We start from the raw sequence: 16,305 nt of genomic DNA on the forward strand, positions 1-16,305 counted from the left end.
TGTTGAGGTGTCTTCTCTATACCTCTGTTAGAAATAGTTGTTTTATACTGCCTTCAAGTCCTCTCTTTACTTACTAATATTCTGTCTTGTGTTATTTTTATTACAGAAAGTTGGGTATTGAAATGTCCTACCATAATTATATTACTGTCTAAGTGTTTTTTCCATTCTTTCAATATTTGCTTTATATGTTTGGAGACTTAATGTAAGATACAAACACACACACACACATATATATACATAGGTTCCCAGTAAATGAATGTATTATTGTTTAATGTCTTTGTCTCTTTGCAGTTTTGACCTAAAGTACATTTTATAAACTATGACAGTTTTTGACTTAAGATGTAGCTTGTGTAATATTATTTTGGTCTCTTCTGCTCTCATTTGGTTAATATTTGCATGGAATGTCTAAATCCATCTTGCCACTTTCAATCCTTTTTTGTCATTAGATTTTAGCTGAGTCTTGTAGAAAGGCAAGTTGCATCTTGGTGTGAGAAACAAACTCACCTATCCAAACCCAAAGAATGGACTCAGGGACCTGGAGAACAGCGAAAGTGAGACTTTTAATGACGGTCTTGCAAGATTGAGTGTCTGGCATACAGGCACACGCAGCACAGTTTCAACAAACAATTATCTCTTAGTGCACAGGTCCCTCCCCCTGGTTCCTCATAGGCTGACTACTATTGGGTCACAGTCTTCCCAGATGTCACCTATTGGCAAGGGCTTTAGGTGTTTCTTTTACGAGTTGTCTTGTTGCATTTTGTTGCAGCCCAAAATGCATCGCGACTGTTCAGGACTCTTCAGACATTTGATTTGTGGCCCTAGTGGCTGCACTTAGCTGATAAGAAAGGGTACAATTATCTATGTTGCAAACTAACCTAAATTTTTTGGTGGGGTGGAGGGGGTGTGGTTGCGGGGACCCTGACCTATAGGCGCCTGGCTACTGGGTAAAAGAGAAGGCAGGAAGGAGGGGGGTGATGACTCAGTACACTCTGCTTCTTTATGTCTTTATTTCCATGTAACCTGCTTAAAACTAACGCACTTAGAATTGAGAATGGACCATCACATATAGGTTATTTTCTACATTGGTTTTTTTATTTTTATTTATTTATTTATTTTGATACAAAGTCTCACTATGTCGCCCAGGCTGGAGTGCAATGGCATGATCTTGGCTCGCTGAAACTTCCGCCTTCCAGGTTCAAGTGATTCTCCTGCCTCAGCCTCCCGAGTAGCTGGGATTACAGGCAGGTACCACCACACTGAGCTAATTTTTGTATTTTTGCTAGAGATGAGATTTCACCATGTTGGCCAGGCTGGTCTCAAACTCCTGACCTCAGGCGATCCGCCCATCTTGGCCTCTGAAAGTGCTGGGATTACAGGCGTGAGCCACTGCGCCCAGCCAAAAATTTTTTTAATAAATCACTTTATTGAACTCATGTCACTTGAGTGGAAAGTTAGTTATATATATGTATGTGTATATATATAAACTCTGAAACAGAAAGACATTAATGTTATTTTATTGTTGTATTTGATTCTTGTATCTTTGTCTCTCATTTTCTCTCTTAATTTGTGTCTTTTTTGTTTTTATGTTGATATACTTTTACTTCTTTCTTATTTTGTTTGTGTATCTATACAAATATATTATTTGTGCTATCTTGGGGATTACATAAAACCTCTAAAAGATACAACGATATATTTCAGTCTGGTAAAAAGAAAAAAACTTCAGTTACATGCAAATATTTTTTCTCATTACATCTGCCCTCAAATTTTTCATTGATGTTTGAATTATATTTTTTATGTTGTATATTAACTAACAGATGTTTATAATGATTTCTATGCTTTTAACTTTCAAATTTTAGAAAATAATTAAAAATGTTTTCTGCACCATTATAATAATGCTTAAAAATTCAATTTTTGTGTTTGTGCATATCTTTTCCAGAAAATAATGTATTTTTCTATGATGATGTGTTGTTTCATTGAATAATGTTATTTTCAGTAGAAGCAACTGCTTTTAGCATCTTTTTATATGTAGAGCATACGGAGTACCAATGCACTTTTTCAGAATTTGGTTATTTTTTAAGGTTTTTTTTTTTTATTTAGCAGGACATATTTGCTGATGGTATTATACTCACTTGATAGCTATTTTTTTCAGGACTTTGACTATATCAGACAGTACCCTTCTGGCCTGCAAAATTTTTGTTGACAATTTACTGGCTGTGTCATAAGACTATGCTTGCAAATGACATCACTTTTATCTTGCAGTTTCCAAGAGGCTGTTTTTGTCTGTGACTTTTGAAATTGTGCTTATATATGTGTTTGTTATAAATATCTTTGTGTGTATCCTAGTTTGTTTTTTGAGCTTCTTCATTTTTACGTCTTTTTTTTTTTTTTTTTTTTTTTTGAGACGGAGTCTCGCTCTGTCGCCCAGGCTGGAGTGCAGTGGCGCATCTCCGCTCACTATAAGCTCCGCCTCCCCGGTTCACGCCATTCTCCTGCCTCAGCCTCCTGCGTAGCTGGGACTACAGGCGCCCGCCACCACGCCCGGCTGATTTTTTCTTTTTTTAGTAGAGACAAGGTTTCGCCGTATTAGCCAGGATGGTCTCAATCTCCTGACCTCGTGATGCACCTGTCTCAGCCTCCCAAAGTGCTGGTATTACAGGCGTGAGCCACCGCGCCCGGCCGTCATTTTTTCTTTCAGGATTTTTCAGTTAGTCTTTTTGGTATTTTTTGCCTTCATAATTTCTGTTTTTCTGGTATTTTACATATTTTTGTTCTTACCCTCATTTTTCTGATTTTCTGTAGTTCTCTATGTTTCTGTGTCACTCACTGAGTATTATTCAATTTGTTTTCAATTTTTAAAATTAATATATACATTTTTTATGGTTTCTCTCTGAAACTTTTATATTTTTGATAAAACCATATTGCCTTATTTTGTATACATTGTAATCTTTGATTGAAATTTGTACATTTAAAAAAGCTACCTGTCACAATCCTTATAATGTAGCTTTGTCCTGGCATAGTCTGGACAATTGTCTTGATTAGAGATACTGGGAGTCTCTCAAACATGTTGCTAGAATGTGTCTTGTCTACAATTTTGTGTTTATTTTTTAATTAAAAGAGTTTGTGTTTCTTCTTTTTTTAGTTTTTTTTTTTGTTTGTTTTTTGTTTTTTTGTCAGACGGGGTCTTGCTCTGTCTCCCAGACTGGAGTGCAGTGGCGCAATCTCGGCTCACTGCACCCTCCGCCACCTGGGTTCAAGTGATTCTCCTGCCTCAGCCTCCCAAGTAGCTGGGAATACAGGTGTACGCTATCACACCTGGCTAACTTTTCTTTTGTTTTTTTAGTAGAGATGGAGTTTCACCATGTTGGCCAGGCTGGTCTCAAACTTGTGACCTCAAGTGATCCGCCAGCCTTGGCCTCCCAAAGTACTGGAATTACAGGCATGAACCACCACAACTGGCCTTTTTTTGTTTCTTCTTAATAGTAATAACTTGCTACACCTGTTTTCTGTGTGTGGCACTGCAGTCTCTCTGCTGCTGTAACATTTAGCTTTGGTCTCAGCAGACTTAAACTGTCATTCCAAAGTATACCACCATTTCTTTCAGCACTAGATGTCATAGGAGACAGAAACCAGTGTATAGATAGGTCCCTAGAAGCAAGTAATAAAGATGTATGTGGCAGTATTTTAATTGTCTTTTAAAAAAGAAACCAAAAGTTGGCAGTGGGGAGCAGGAAGAGCTGTGTTGGGTAAATTTAACAGACTTTTCTTTTTCTTCTGTGTCACTCTCTATGTTGTGCTCAGCTGGGGCACTTCACACACTTAACTTATTTATAAATTTTCCTCAGATGTATTTTTGTTGGATGTTTTTGTTACATTTACATGTCTGTAAAAAATTAGGGCCTTTGGGCCAGGCGCGGTGGCTGGTGTGCCAAAGTGCGGTAATCCCAGCACTTTGGGAGGCTGAAGTGGACGCATCATCTGAGGTCAGGAGTTCGAGACCAGACTGGCCAACATGGCGAAACCCCATCTCTACTAAAAATACAAAAATTAGCTGTGCGTGGTGGTGCGTGCCTGTAATCCCAGCTACTTTGGAGGCTGGGGCAGGAGAATAGCTTGAGCCTGGGTGGCGGAGGTGGCAGTGAGCAGAGATCACGCCATTGCACTCCATCCTGGGCTACAGAATGAGACTCTGTCTAAAAAAAAAAAAAAATTAGGGCCTTTATTATTTTGCTATGCCATCTTGTTTATGTAGTTTGTATAATTATATGGGTTAGATTTGTAAAGCATATTCATCTGAGTCTAGTAAATGGAGTAATTTGTTATTTTTATTTCTTTCAGTTACATATTCTCATTTTGCCCAAGACCTTTGGCCAGAGCAGGGCATAAAAGATTCTTTCCAAGAAGTCATATTGAGAAGATATGGAAAATGTGGACATGAAGATTTACAGTTAAGAACAGGCTGTAAAAGTGTGGATGAGTGTAATCTGCACAAAGAATGTTATGATGAACTAAACCAGTGTTTGACAACTACCCAGAGTGAAATATTTCAATATGATAAATATGTGAATGTCTTTTATAAATTTTCAAATCCAAATATACAAAAGATAAGACATACTGGAAAGAAGCCTTTCAAATGTAAAAAATGTGACAAATCGTTTTGCATGCTTTTACACCTAACTCAACATAAAAGAATTCATATTAGGGAAAATTCTTACCAATGTGAAGAATGTGGTAAAGTCTTTAACTGGTTCTCAACCCTTACTAGACACAGAAGAATTCATACTGGAGAGAAACCCTACAAATGTGAACAATGTGGCAAAGCTTTTAAGCAGTCCTCAACCCTTACTACACATAAGATAATTCATACTGGAGAGAAACCCTACAGATGTGAAGAATGTGGCAAAACCTTTAACCGGTCCTCACACCTTACTACACATAAAAGAATTCATACTGGAGAGAAACCCTACAGATGTGAAGAATGTGGCAGAGCTTTTAACCGGTCCTCACACCTTACTACACATAAGATTATTCATACTGGAGAGAAACCCTACAAATGTGAAGAATGTGGCAAAGCTTTTAACCAATCCTCAACCCTTACTACACATAAGATAATTCATGCTGGAGAGAAACCTTACAAATGTGAAGAATGTGGCAAAGCTTTTTACCGATTCTCATACCTTACTAAACATAAGATAATTCATACTGGAGAGAAATTCTACAAATGTGAAGAATGTGGCAAAGGCTTTAATTGGTCCTCGACCCTTACTAAACATAAAAGAATTCATACTGGAGAGAAACCCTACAAATGTGAACAATGTGGCAAAGCTTTTAATGAGTCCTCAAACCTTACTGCACATAAGATAATTCATACTGGAGAGAAACCCTACAAATGTGAAGAATGTGGCAAAGCCTTTAACCGGTCCCCAAAACTTACTGCACATAAGGTAATTCATTCTGGAGAGAAACCCTACAAATGTGAAGAATGTGGCAAAGCTTTTAACCAATTCTCAAACCTTACTAAACATAAGATAACTCATATTGGAGATACATCTTACAAATACCTAGAATGTGATAAAGCCTTTAGCCAGTCTTCAACTCTTACTAAACATAAGGTAATTCATACTGGAGAGAAACCCTACAACTGTGAAGAATACGGCAAAGCTTTCAACCAGTCCTCAAACCTTATTGAACAAAGTAATTCATACTGGAGAGAAACCCTACAAATGTGAAGATTGTGGCAAAGCCTCTAACCCGTCCTGAATTCTTACTAAACATAAGAACATTCATACTGAAGAGGAACCCTATGAGTGTGAAGAATATGGCAAAGCCTTCAACAAGTCCTCAATTCTTACCAGACATAAGATAATTCTGGCTGGGTGCGGTGGCTCACACCTGTAATCCCAGCACTTTGGGAGGCTGAGACGGGTGAATTACATGAGGTTGGGAGTTCGAGACCAGCCTGACCAACATGGTGAAATCCTGTCTCTACTAAAAATACAAAATTAGCCATGCGTAGTGGTGCATGCCTGTAATCCCAGCTACTCGGGAGGCTGAGGCAGGAGAATTGCTTGAACCCGGGAGGCAGAGGTTGAAGTGAGCTGAGATCGCGCCATTGCACTCCAGCCTGGGCAACAAGAGTGGCACTCCATCTCAGAAAAAAAAAAAAAAGATAATTCATACTGAAAAGAAACTCTACAAACTTGAAAGATGTGACAGTGCTTTTGACAACACCTAAAACTTTTAAACATAAAAAATCATACTGGTGAGAAATCCTAGAAATGTAAAGAATGTGACAAGGCCTTTAAATGGTTGTCACACTTCATTATAGGTAAGATAGTTCATACTGAAGAAAACTTCTACAAGTGTGAACAGTGTGGCAAAACTTTTAATGAATGCTCACACCTTATTGCACAGGAGAGCATTTATACTTGAAAAAAATTGTACAAATATAAAGACCATGAAAAAGCCATTAATATCTATTCACATCTTACCACTGGAGAGTTCATACTTAATAAAAGGAATATAAGTGCAATTACTGTCAAAAGATCTTTCAGAAAATATAAACCTTTAAAGCGAAGAAGGTATTTATTTTGAAGATGAACACTACAAATGTGAAGAGGGTTGTAGTACCTTTATTTGTATCACAGATTTTATTGTACACATTTTGTACTAGAAGAAAACTCTGAAGTAGTTGCTCAAACTTTGTTCAACATCAGGGAATTTATATTGAAGAAAAACTTTGCAAATTTAATAAATTTTAAAAAACACTTTTTCAAAAAGTACAGCTTAGAAGACACCAGAGTTCATACTAAAATATATTTTTGCAGATGCAGTAAAAATGAAAATATTTAATCCAAAATTAAGTCTATGTAAATATCAGAGAATTTACTGTAGAAATATATAAGGCACTGAGACTTCAGATATTATACTAAATCAGAGTGCTGAGTATAGAAAATAAAACTGAAGTTGGGGCCAGGTGCAGTGGCTCACACCTGTAATCCAGCACTTTGGGAGGCCGAGAAGGGTGGATCACCTGAGGTCAGGAGTTTGAGACCAGCCTGACTAACATGGAGAAAACACGGCTCTACTAAAAATACAAAATTAGCCAGCTGTGGTGGTGTATGCCTGTAATCACAGCTACTCGAGAGGCTGAGGCAGGAGAATTGCTTGAACCCGGGAGGTGGAGAGTGCAGTGAACTGAAATTGCGCCATTGCACTCCAGCCTGGGCAACAAGAGTGAAACTCCATTTCAAAAAAAAAAAAAAAAAAACAACTAAAGTTGGTAGAAAAATTATTTGTATATAACTTTAAAAGGAGTAGAAGGGCTTTTTGCAGAGTTATTACGTTTGAAGTATACTTTATTTCTTGAAAAAATTACAGATTTTTTGTAAATAATGATGTAATTCAACTCTCAAAATATTTCCTACTGTTTCTTTATTCCAGTTGTATTCACATGTGAAAGCATGTGATCAGTTATTGCTGCATTAAAAACATGAGTCTTTTTTATTAGGTGGCCATTATTTATGATCTTTTCTATGAAAGAGTAAGGACATTAAAATGTAAGATGCATGATGAAAAATTAAGTGAAGAGGCTCTTTATGGTTAATTTATATTGAATAATGCATTAGGTAGGTGTTCAGAGTAATATTTTGCGTTGTGAGAACATTTTTAATTTTATTTAAAATTAAATGAAAATAAATTAGTATATTATTGTACTAATTGTACTTTTGTATAATAAAATCCAGTGTATTTTAAAAATGTTAGGTTATGTGTGGTTAATATTTTAATCCAATATTTTTAACATGTTAAATACTATTGTGCATTCAATGAAGTGTTATTATGCCACGAACTTTAACCTGTTCCACTTTACTTAAAGGTATAGATGAAAGATAATAACAATAAGGGGCCAGGCGTAGTGGTTCACACCTGTAATCCTAGCACTTCGGGAGGCTGAGGTGGATGAATCACGAGGTCAGGAGTTCAAGACCAGCCTGGCCAACGTGGTGAAACCCCGTCTCTACTAAAAATACAAAAATTAGCCAGTTGTGGTGGCTGGCGCCTGCAATCCCAGCTACTTGGGAGGCTGAGGCAGAAGAATCGCTTAAAACCAGAAGGTGGAGGTTGCAGTGAGCCAAGATCGCGGCACTGCACCTGGGTGAAAGAGTGAAACTCTGTTTCAAAAAAAAAAAAAAAGATGGTAACAATATACTATTTGGCAACATAGTGGATTAACATCTTGAGTAATCTCTTTTGTCAGTGGGTTTAAACTGCAAATTAGTTAAAGAATATTGCTTCTGTAGGTTAAATTTTTCTTTTTCAATTATTTAAATTTATTTTTAAAATTTTTGTGGGTACATAATATGAGTATATATTTATGCCATATATGGCATATTTTGATACAGGAGTACCATATATAATAATCACATCAGGGCAAATGGGGTATCCATCACTTCTAGCAATAATTTATCCTTTGTATTACAAACAATTCAGTTCTACACTTTTAGTTATTTTAAAATGTACAATTGTTATCGGTTACAGGGTTATTTTTATGGTCATAATAAAAAATATGCAAGTATAAATAAAATCCATACATTTCTGAGTCCTGAATAAATATTATTAAAATTTTCTTACATATATTTTTGAACATGTGGCCTGTCTGCCTACAAACACATACAAACTTTTAGTTTTGATTTACATAGAGTTAAATATATATTAGTCTAAAGATAAATCTTAGTTGTAAGAAAACTATGGAATATGAGTTTGTCCCTACTTTCAGAAAAAAAAAGAGCAATATAGGAACAAAACAAGTCATTTTAACAAGGTGACTACTAGAAAACTAAAAACCTCAAAAATGCAAAAGCAAACATATACTCTCTGCTTTGTATTGAATTTATTACTGTATAATCTATGCCTTATACTTCGGAATCTCCCCATGCAAATTCTGTTTATACTTGCCTGGTACTCATGATAGACCCCTACTTTTTGGTATTTTGTATATTTATTTTATAGTTTATGAAATATTCATTATGTGAGCTGGAATGTGAGTATAAGAATAATTTTTATGAAATGTGCATACAAAATAATTTTATATGTAATTCCACAATTAGTATATTAAGTTACATTTTATTTAGCTAGAACACTCCATTTTGTTTTCAATTGGAGAACCCTATATAAGCTTACTATTCTTTAGTTATTGTTCTTTTTACTTTTTATAATTGACAAAGTAAATTTATTTATGGAGTCAAATTGTTCAGGTAAATACAAGGGAAGCTTAGTAAGTCATGAAGATGTTTTTACATGTAAATGTGGAAAGCATATATAGCAGTTCTTGGTGTGTAACATGCTCCAGAAAAAGCCATAAACATTTCTGCTAAAGTTAGTTTGTAACTTCAAGTCAGAGATAGAAAATATTAGTAGTGAAGAAATACAGCTGATGTTTTATGTGGAGAGGACACTTCCAGGCTGCAAAGCTGAGTGTTGCTGAATTAAAAAAAAAAAAAAAAAAAAAAAATGTGGCCTGGCACGGTGGCTCACACCTACAATCCCAGCACTTTGGGAGGCCAAGACAAGTCGATCATGAAGTCAGGAGTTCAAGACCAGCCTGGCCAAGATGGTGAAACCCCGTCTCTACTAAAAATACAAAAATTACCTGGGCATGGTGGCAGGTGCCTGTAATCCCAGCTACTTGGGAGGCTGAGGCAGAGAATCCCTTGAACCTGGGAGGCGGAGGTTGCAGTGAGCTGAGATCACACCACTGTACTCCAGCCTGGGCAACAGAGCGAGACTCCGCCTCAAAAAAAAAAAAATGCTAGCTGGGTGCGGTGGCTCACGCCTGTAATCCCAGCACTTTGGGAGGCTGAGGTGGGCAGACCACAAGGTCAGGAGATCAAGACCATCCTGGCTAACACGGTGAAACCCCGTCTCTACTAAAAATACAAAAAATTAACTAGGCGTGGTGGCAGGCGCCTGTAGTCCCAGCTACTCGGGAGGCTAAGGCAGGAGAATGGCATGAACCCGGGAGGCGGAGCTTGCAGTGAGCCGAGATCACACCACTGCACTCCAGCCTGGGCGACACAGCAAGACTCCGTCTGAAAAAAAAAAAAATGCTGCTTTTATTTTCTTCAGATTTGTTTGTATTATGTGTATTCTAGCTATGTATGCATCACAGCCCTTATTTTTCTATGTTATGGCTACAGTTTTCTCTTTGTTGTCTTCATGCCATTTCATTTCACATGGTACTTTGTAGATTTTGATGAGAAACTTCATAATTTTTAATGCCCTGAAAAAATGTTTTTGTTTTCTATTTCTTTAAGATGGAGTTTCACTCTTGCTGCCAAGGCTGGAGTGCAATGGTGCGATCTCGGCTCACTGCAACCTCTGCCTCCTGGGTTCAAGTGATTCTCCTGCCTCAGCCTCCCAAGTAGCTGGGATTACAGGTATGCGCCACCACGTCCAGCTAGTTTGGTAGTTTTAGTGGAGATGGGGTTTCACCTTGTTGGTGAGGCTGGTCTTGAACTCCTGACCTCAGGTGATCCACACACCTAGGCCTCCCAAAGTGCTGGGATTACAGATGTGAGCCACAGCACCAAGCATGAAAAATTGGGTTTAACTGGAGAGTTTGCTTATCAATATAACTTTCAGATCAGTGAATTAAGATAAAGGCATACACTGTCCACAGGTGAGAGAATTAAATCAGTTGCATGGGTTTTGTTTGTTTGTAAAAGAAAAAGCTTATTACATTGTTATACAAAGTGTGGCAAATAAAAAATTTGCTAGAAAATATACCTTAAAAATTATTTATTTATTTATTTATTTATTTATTTTGAGAAAGAGTCTCACTCTGTTGCCCAGGCTGGAGTGCAGTGGCGCGATCGCAGTTCACTGCAACCTCCACCTCCCGGGTTCAAGCGATTCTCCTGCCTCAGTCTCCTGAGTAGTTGGGATTACAGGTGCGCACCACCACGCCCAGCTAATTTTTGTATTTTAAGTAGAGACAGGTTTTCACCATGTTGGCCAGGCTGGTCTCGAACTCCTGACCTCGTGATCCACCCACCTTGGCCTCCCATAGTGCTGGGATTACAAACACTGCACGGAGACTTTATTTTTTATTTTATTTTATTTTATTTTATTTTGAGATGGAGTTTTGCTTCTGTTGCCCAGGCTGGAGGGCAATAGCACGATCTCGGCTCACCACAACCTCCACCTCCCAAGTTCAAGCGATTCTCCTGCCTCAGCCTTCCCGAGTAGCTGGGATTACAGGCATGCCCCACCACACCCTGCTAATCTTATATTTTTAGTAGAGATGGGGTTTCTCCATGTTGGTCAGGCCGGTCTCGAACTCTCAACCTCAGGTCATCCACCCTCCTCGGCCTCCCAAAATGCTGGGATTACAGGCATGAGCCACTGCATCTGGCAAAAATTAAATTTTTAAAAGAGTTAATGGTAAGTGAACAATTTTATATTGAATTCTCTGTGATATAACACAACTTATGTTTCCATGCAGAATCTTCTAAGCGTAAATGTTAAAGGTTGCAAAATAATAAAATGACCTCTGTGAATTTGCAATTTGGAAGAATTTTTTTTCCATATTGATATTGAAATTTGGAGGAATTTCTCTCATTTTGTATAATTTTTTTAGTGGGTGAAGTTCAGTCTTCAGTTTTTATTTTTAGTCACCTAACTATAGCCAACTCCTCAGTCATTTTCTCTGGATAACTTTTGGAGATCCTGACAGTTTTGGGATTAAAACATTTACTGTTAGTTTGCATGTAAACTAGTTATACTGTGTTCACAGAGTGGCCAGTTATGGGACCATAGGCAACAACTGCCCCCTTAGTGTCTTTCATACCATTACCATCATCACCAGAAACTCCAGGTGCCCCAAGCTTAAAGCAAAAATCCTGAAGTACATCAGCTCCTCCCTTGCAACGTGCTGGGTTTGGAACATGCTGTTAAAATATCAGAGTTCCTGGCCAGACATGGTGGCTCATGCCTGTAATCCTAGCACCTTGGGAGGCTGAGGCGGGCAGATCACGAGGTCAGGAGCTCGAGATAGCCTGGCCAATGTAGTGAAACCCCGTCTCTACTAAAAATACAAAAACATTAGGCAGTGTGGTAGCACACACTTGTAATCCCAGCTACTCCTGAGGCTGAGGCAGGAGAATCGCTTGAACCTGGGAGGTGAAGGTTGCAGTGAGCTGAGATGGAGCCACTGCACTCCAGCCTGGGCAACAGGGGGAGACTTCCGACCTCAGGTAATCCACCTGCCTCGGCCTCTCAAAGTGCTGGGATTACAGGCGTAAGCCACAGTGCCCGGCCTTGAACTGTTGATTCTATATTTTGTCTTTTATGAAGAGTGCTGCAAACAACATAGAAGTGCAAATGTTCTTCATTAGGCATTATCTGTTTCGGACACATATCCAATGGTGCAATTGCTATGTTACATGGTAGTTTGATTTTAAGTTTTTTGAGAAACCTCTATTTCATTTTTCATAATAGCTGTCTTCATTTACATTCAAACCAACAGTATGCAAGTATTCCCTTTTCTTCACGTCTTTACCAGCACTTTATTCTTTTTCTTTTTAATAAGAGTCATATTATAGGAGTGAGTTGATATCTCATAGTGTTTTTTGGCTTGCCTTTCCCTGATCATAATTGACAATGAGCATTTTTAAATATTTCTGTTGGCCATATGTATGTCTTTTCTTGAAAAAGACTTATTTAAGGCTTTTGCTTATTTTAAGTTATTTCTTTTTTGTTGTAGTCATTTGAGTTTCTTATATATTTTTAATATTAACTCCTTGTCACATGTATGATTTGCAAATACTTTCTCTCATTAATTAGTTGTCTCATCCTGTTGATTGTACCACATTCTGTGCAGCAGCTTTATAATTTGAAGTAATCTGACTAATCTATTTTTTCTTCTATTCCCTGGGATTTTGAGGTTAAATAAACTCTCTGCCCAGGACAATGTGATGGGGATTTCACTCTATTTTTTAGTAATAGTTTCAGGCCTTACATTTAAGTATCTAATTTATTTTCGTTGATTTTTTAATATGGTGTGAGATAAGGGTCTCATTTTACTGTGCTGCCTGTGGATATAGTTTTCTCAACAACATTTATTGAAGATACTGTTCTTTCCTTAAGAAATCATCACCTTTATTTAAAATCAGCTAGCTGTAAATACACAGATGTATTTCTGGTCTCTTTCTGCTCAATTGGCCTATATGTCTGTTTTTATTCAGTACCATACTGTTTTAGTTACTATAGCTTTGTGGTATATTTCAGTCAAGTAGAGGGATATCTTCACTTTTTTTTTTTAATTGCTTTGGCTATTTGGATCTTTTGTGGTACCATATGAATTTTAGATATACATTTTTAAACTTCTTTTTTTTTTTTTTGAGACAAAGTCTCACTCTGTTGCCCAAGCTGGAGTGCAGTGGTGTGATCTCGGCTCACTGCCACCTCTGCTTCCTGGGTTCAAGTGATTCTCCTGCCTCAGCCTCCTGAGTAGCTGGGATTACAGGCCCAACATGTGCGCACCATCACGCCCAACTAAGTTTTGTATTTTTAGTACAGATGGGGTTTCACGATGTTGGTCAGACTGGTCTCAAACTCCTTACCTCAAGATCTACCCACCTCAGCCTCCCAAAGTGCTGAGATTACAGGCATGAGCCGCCATGCCCAGCCTACTTTTTAAAATTTCTATGAAGTATGTCACTGGTATTTTGATAGAGGTTGCATTATATCCATAGATCATTTTGTGTAATACAGATACTTAATTACTAATAATGCCAATTCATGAATGAATATTATTTTATGTGTATATTACTTAATTTGTTTAATGTTCTTTAGAGTATAATGCAAGATGTTTCAACTTTTTGGTTATATTTATTTCAAAGCATAGTTACTAAAGTTAGATGGAATTGTTTTTTAATTTCGAGATAGTTATTGTATAGAAATGCTGCTTACTTTTGGATGTAGCTTATTTATTCTGAAAGTCTAATAACTTTGTTTATTAGTTCTAATAGTTTTTTGTAAAGTCTTAGGCTTTTCTATACTTCAGATGTTGTATAGAAATAAAAGATTATTATACAGGGATAATTTACATTCCTTTTTTCCAATCTGGATACTTTTGATTTTACTCTCTAATTTCTTTGTCTTGGATATTTAGTACTATGTTTAGTAAGACTGACTAGAGTGGGCATCCTTGTCTTGTTCTAGCTCTTAGAGTGAAAGCTTGCAACATATCCCTGTTTAGCATGTTATTAGCTGTGCATTTTTTGGTTATATGTGGCATTTATTGGCTGAGGTGCATTTGTTCCATACCTGTTTTTTTCAGAGATTCATCATAAGGGAGTGTCAACTTTTGTCAAACTTTTCTTCTGCATCTATTTCTTTCTTTTTGTGCTTTGCATCTATTTAAATGTTAGATTTGTGAAATCACAATAAATCCTACATAGACAGGAAAAATCCTCAGAGACTACTATGAACATCTCTATGCCTGCAAACTAGAAAATTAGGAGAAAATAGATAAAATCCTGGATACACAAACTTCCAAGATTGAGCCAGGAAGAAACAGAAGCCTTGAACAAAGCAAAAATATATAAAATAGATAATGAAATTGAATTAGTAATAAAAAACCTACCAAGTGTGATTCAACATGTAAAGATAATAAAACCAAAAAATGATACGATTAACACAATAGATGCAAAAAAAAGCATTCAAGAAAGTTCAACATTCATGAAAATATTCTCCACAAAGTGGGCATTGATGAAACATACCTCAAAATAATAAGCCATCTATGACAAATCCTCAGCTAACATTATACTTAAGCAAAAGCTGGATGCATTCTCCATTAGAATAAAAATAAGACAAGAATATCAACTTTATCCCTTCTATTCAACATAGTTCTGGAAGTCCTAGTCAGAGCAATTCAACAAAATAAAGAAATAAAAGGCATCTAAAGCCTGGCGCAGTGGCTCATGCCTGTAATCCCAGCCCTTTGGGAGGCCGAGGCGGGAGGATCACCTGAGGTCAGGAGTTCGAGACCAGCCTGACCAACATGGAGAAACCCCATCTCTACTAAAAATACAAAATTTGCTGGGAGTGGTGGCACGTGCCTATAATCCCAGCTACTCGGGAGGCTAAGACAGGAGAATCACTTGAACCCGGGAGGTGGAGGTTCCGATGAACCGAGATCATGCCATTGCACTCCAGCCTGGGCAACATGAACGAAACTCCATCCCCCCCACCCCACTCCCCCCAAAAAACTCATCTAAATAGAAAGAGAGGAAGTCAAATAATCTTCACTGATTATATAATTCTCTACCTAGAAAACAAAAGATTTTGGGCCAGGTGCAGTGGTTTACGCCTGTAATACCACACTTTGGGAGGCCGAGGCGGGTAGATCACTTGTGGTCAGGGGTTCAAAACCACCCTGGCCAACATGGCTAAACCCCATCTCTACTAAAAATACAAAAGTAGCTGGGTGTGGTGGCGCATGCCTGTAATCCCAGCTACTTGGGAGGCTGAGGCAGGAGAATCATTCGAACCTGGGAGGCAGAGGTTGCAGTGAGCTGGAATCACACCGTTGCACTCCAGCCACTCCAGCCTGGGTAACAAGAACGAAATTCCGTCTAAAAAAAAAAAGTTCACCAAAAGACTCCAAAGCTTAATGAATGACTTTAGCAAAGTATCAGGATACAAAATTAATATACACAAGTCACATTTTTGTATACCAATAACATTCAAAATCAAGAACAGTTTTATTTTATTTATTTATTTTTGAGATGGAGTTTCACTCTTGTTGCCCAGGCTGAAGTGCAATGGTGTGATCTCTGCTCACTGCAACCTCCGCTTGCCGGGTTCAAGCAATTCTCCTGCCTCAGTCTCCCAAGTAGCTGGGATTACAGGCGCGCACCACCATGCCCGGCTAATTTTTTGTATTTTTAGTAGAGACGGGGTTTCACCATGGCCAGGCTGGTCTTGAACTTCCTGACCTCAGGTGAGCCGCCCGCCTCGGCCTCCCAGAGTGCTGGGATTACAGGCATGAGCCACCGTGCCCGGCCAAGAAGAGTTTTATTTTGAATAACCACAGACAAAAAATAATATACCTACATATACACTAAATCAAAGAGGTAAAATATCTCTACAAGAAGTACAAAACACTACTGGAAGAAATAAGAGACAATGCAAATAAATAAAAAAGCATTATATGCTCATGGATTTGAAGAATGAATGTAATTAAAATGTCTATGCTGCCTAAAGCAGCCTACAGACTAAGTGGTATTTCTATGAAACTATCAA

General features: G+C 37.7%; 1 protein-coding gene and 1 pseudogene across 4 annotated transcripts in view; both read left to right on the plus strand.

Moving 5' to 3' along the window:
- ZNF430 (zinc finger protein 430) overlaps window positions 1–7,755 on the plus strand; it is a 39,394-nt gene extending 31,639 nt beyond the window's left edge. For all 4 annotated transcript variants that reach the window (NM_025189.4, NM_001172671.2, XM_047439464.1 and 1 more), the window contains one exon: window positions 4,336–7,755. In NM_025189.4, the coding sequence (NP_079465.3) occupies window positions 4,336–5,726 (1,391 nt within the window). In that variant the 3' untranslated portion in view covers window positions 5,727–7,755. The remainder of the gene's footprint in view (window positions 1–4,335) is intronic.
- VN1R80P (vomeronasal 1 receptor 80 pseudogene) lies at window positions 11,629–11,966 on the plus strand (annotated as a pseudogene).

The sequence above is a fragment of the Homo sapiens genome, chromosome 19 (assembly GCF_000001405.40).
Source record: "Homo sapiens chromosome 19, GRCh38.p14 Primary Assembly".
NCBI lineage: Eukaryota > Metazoa > Chordata > Mammalia > Primates > Hominidae > Homo > Homo sapiens.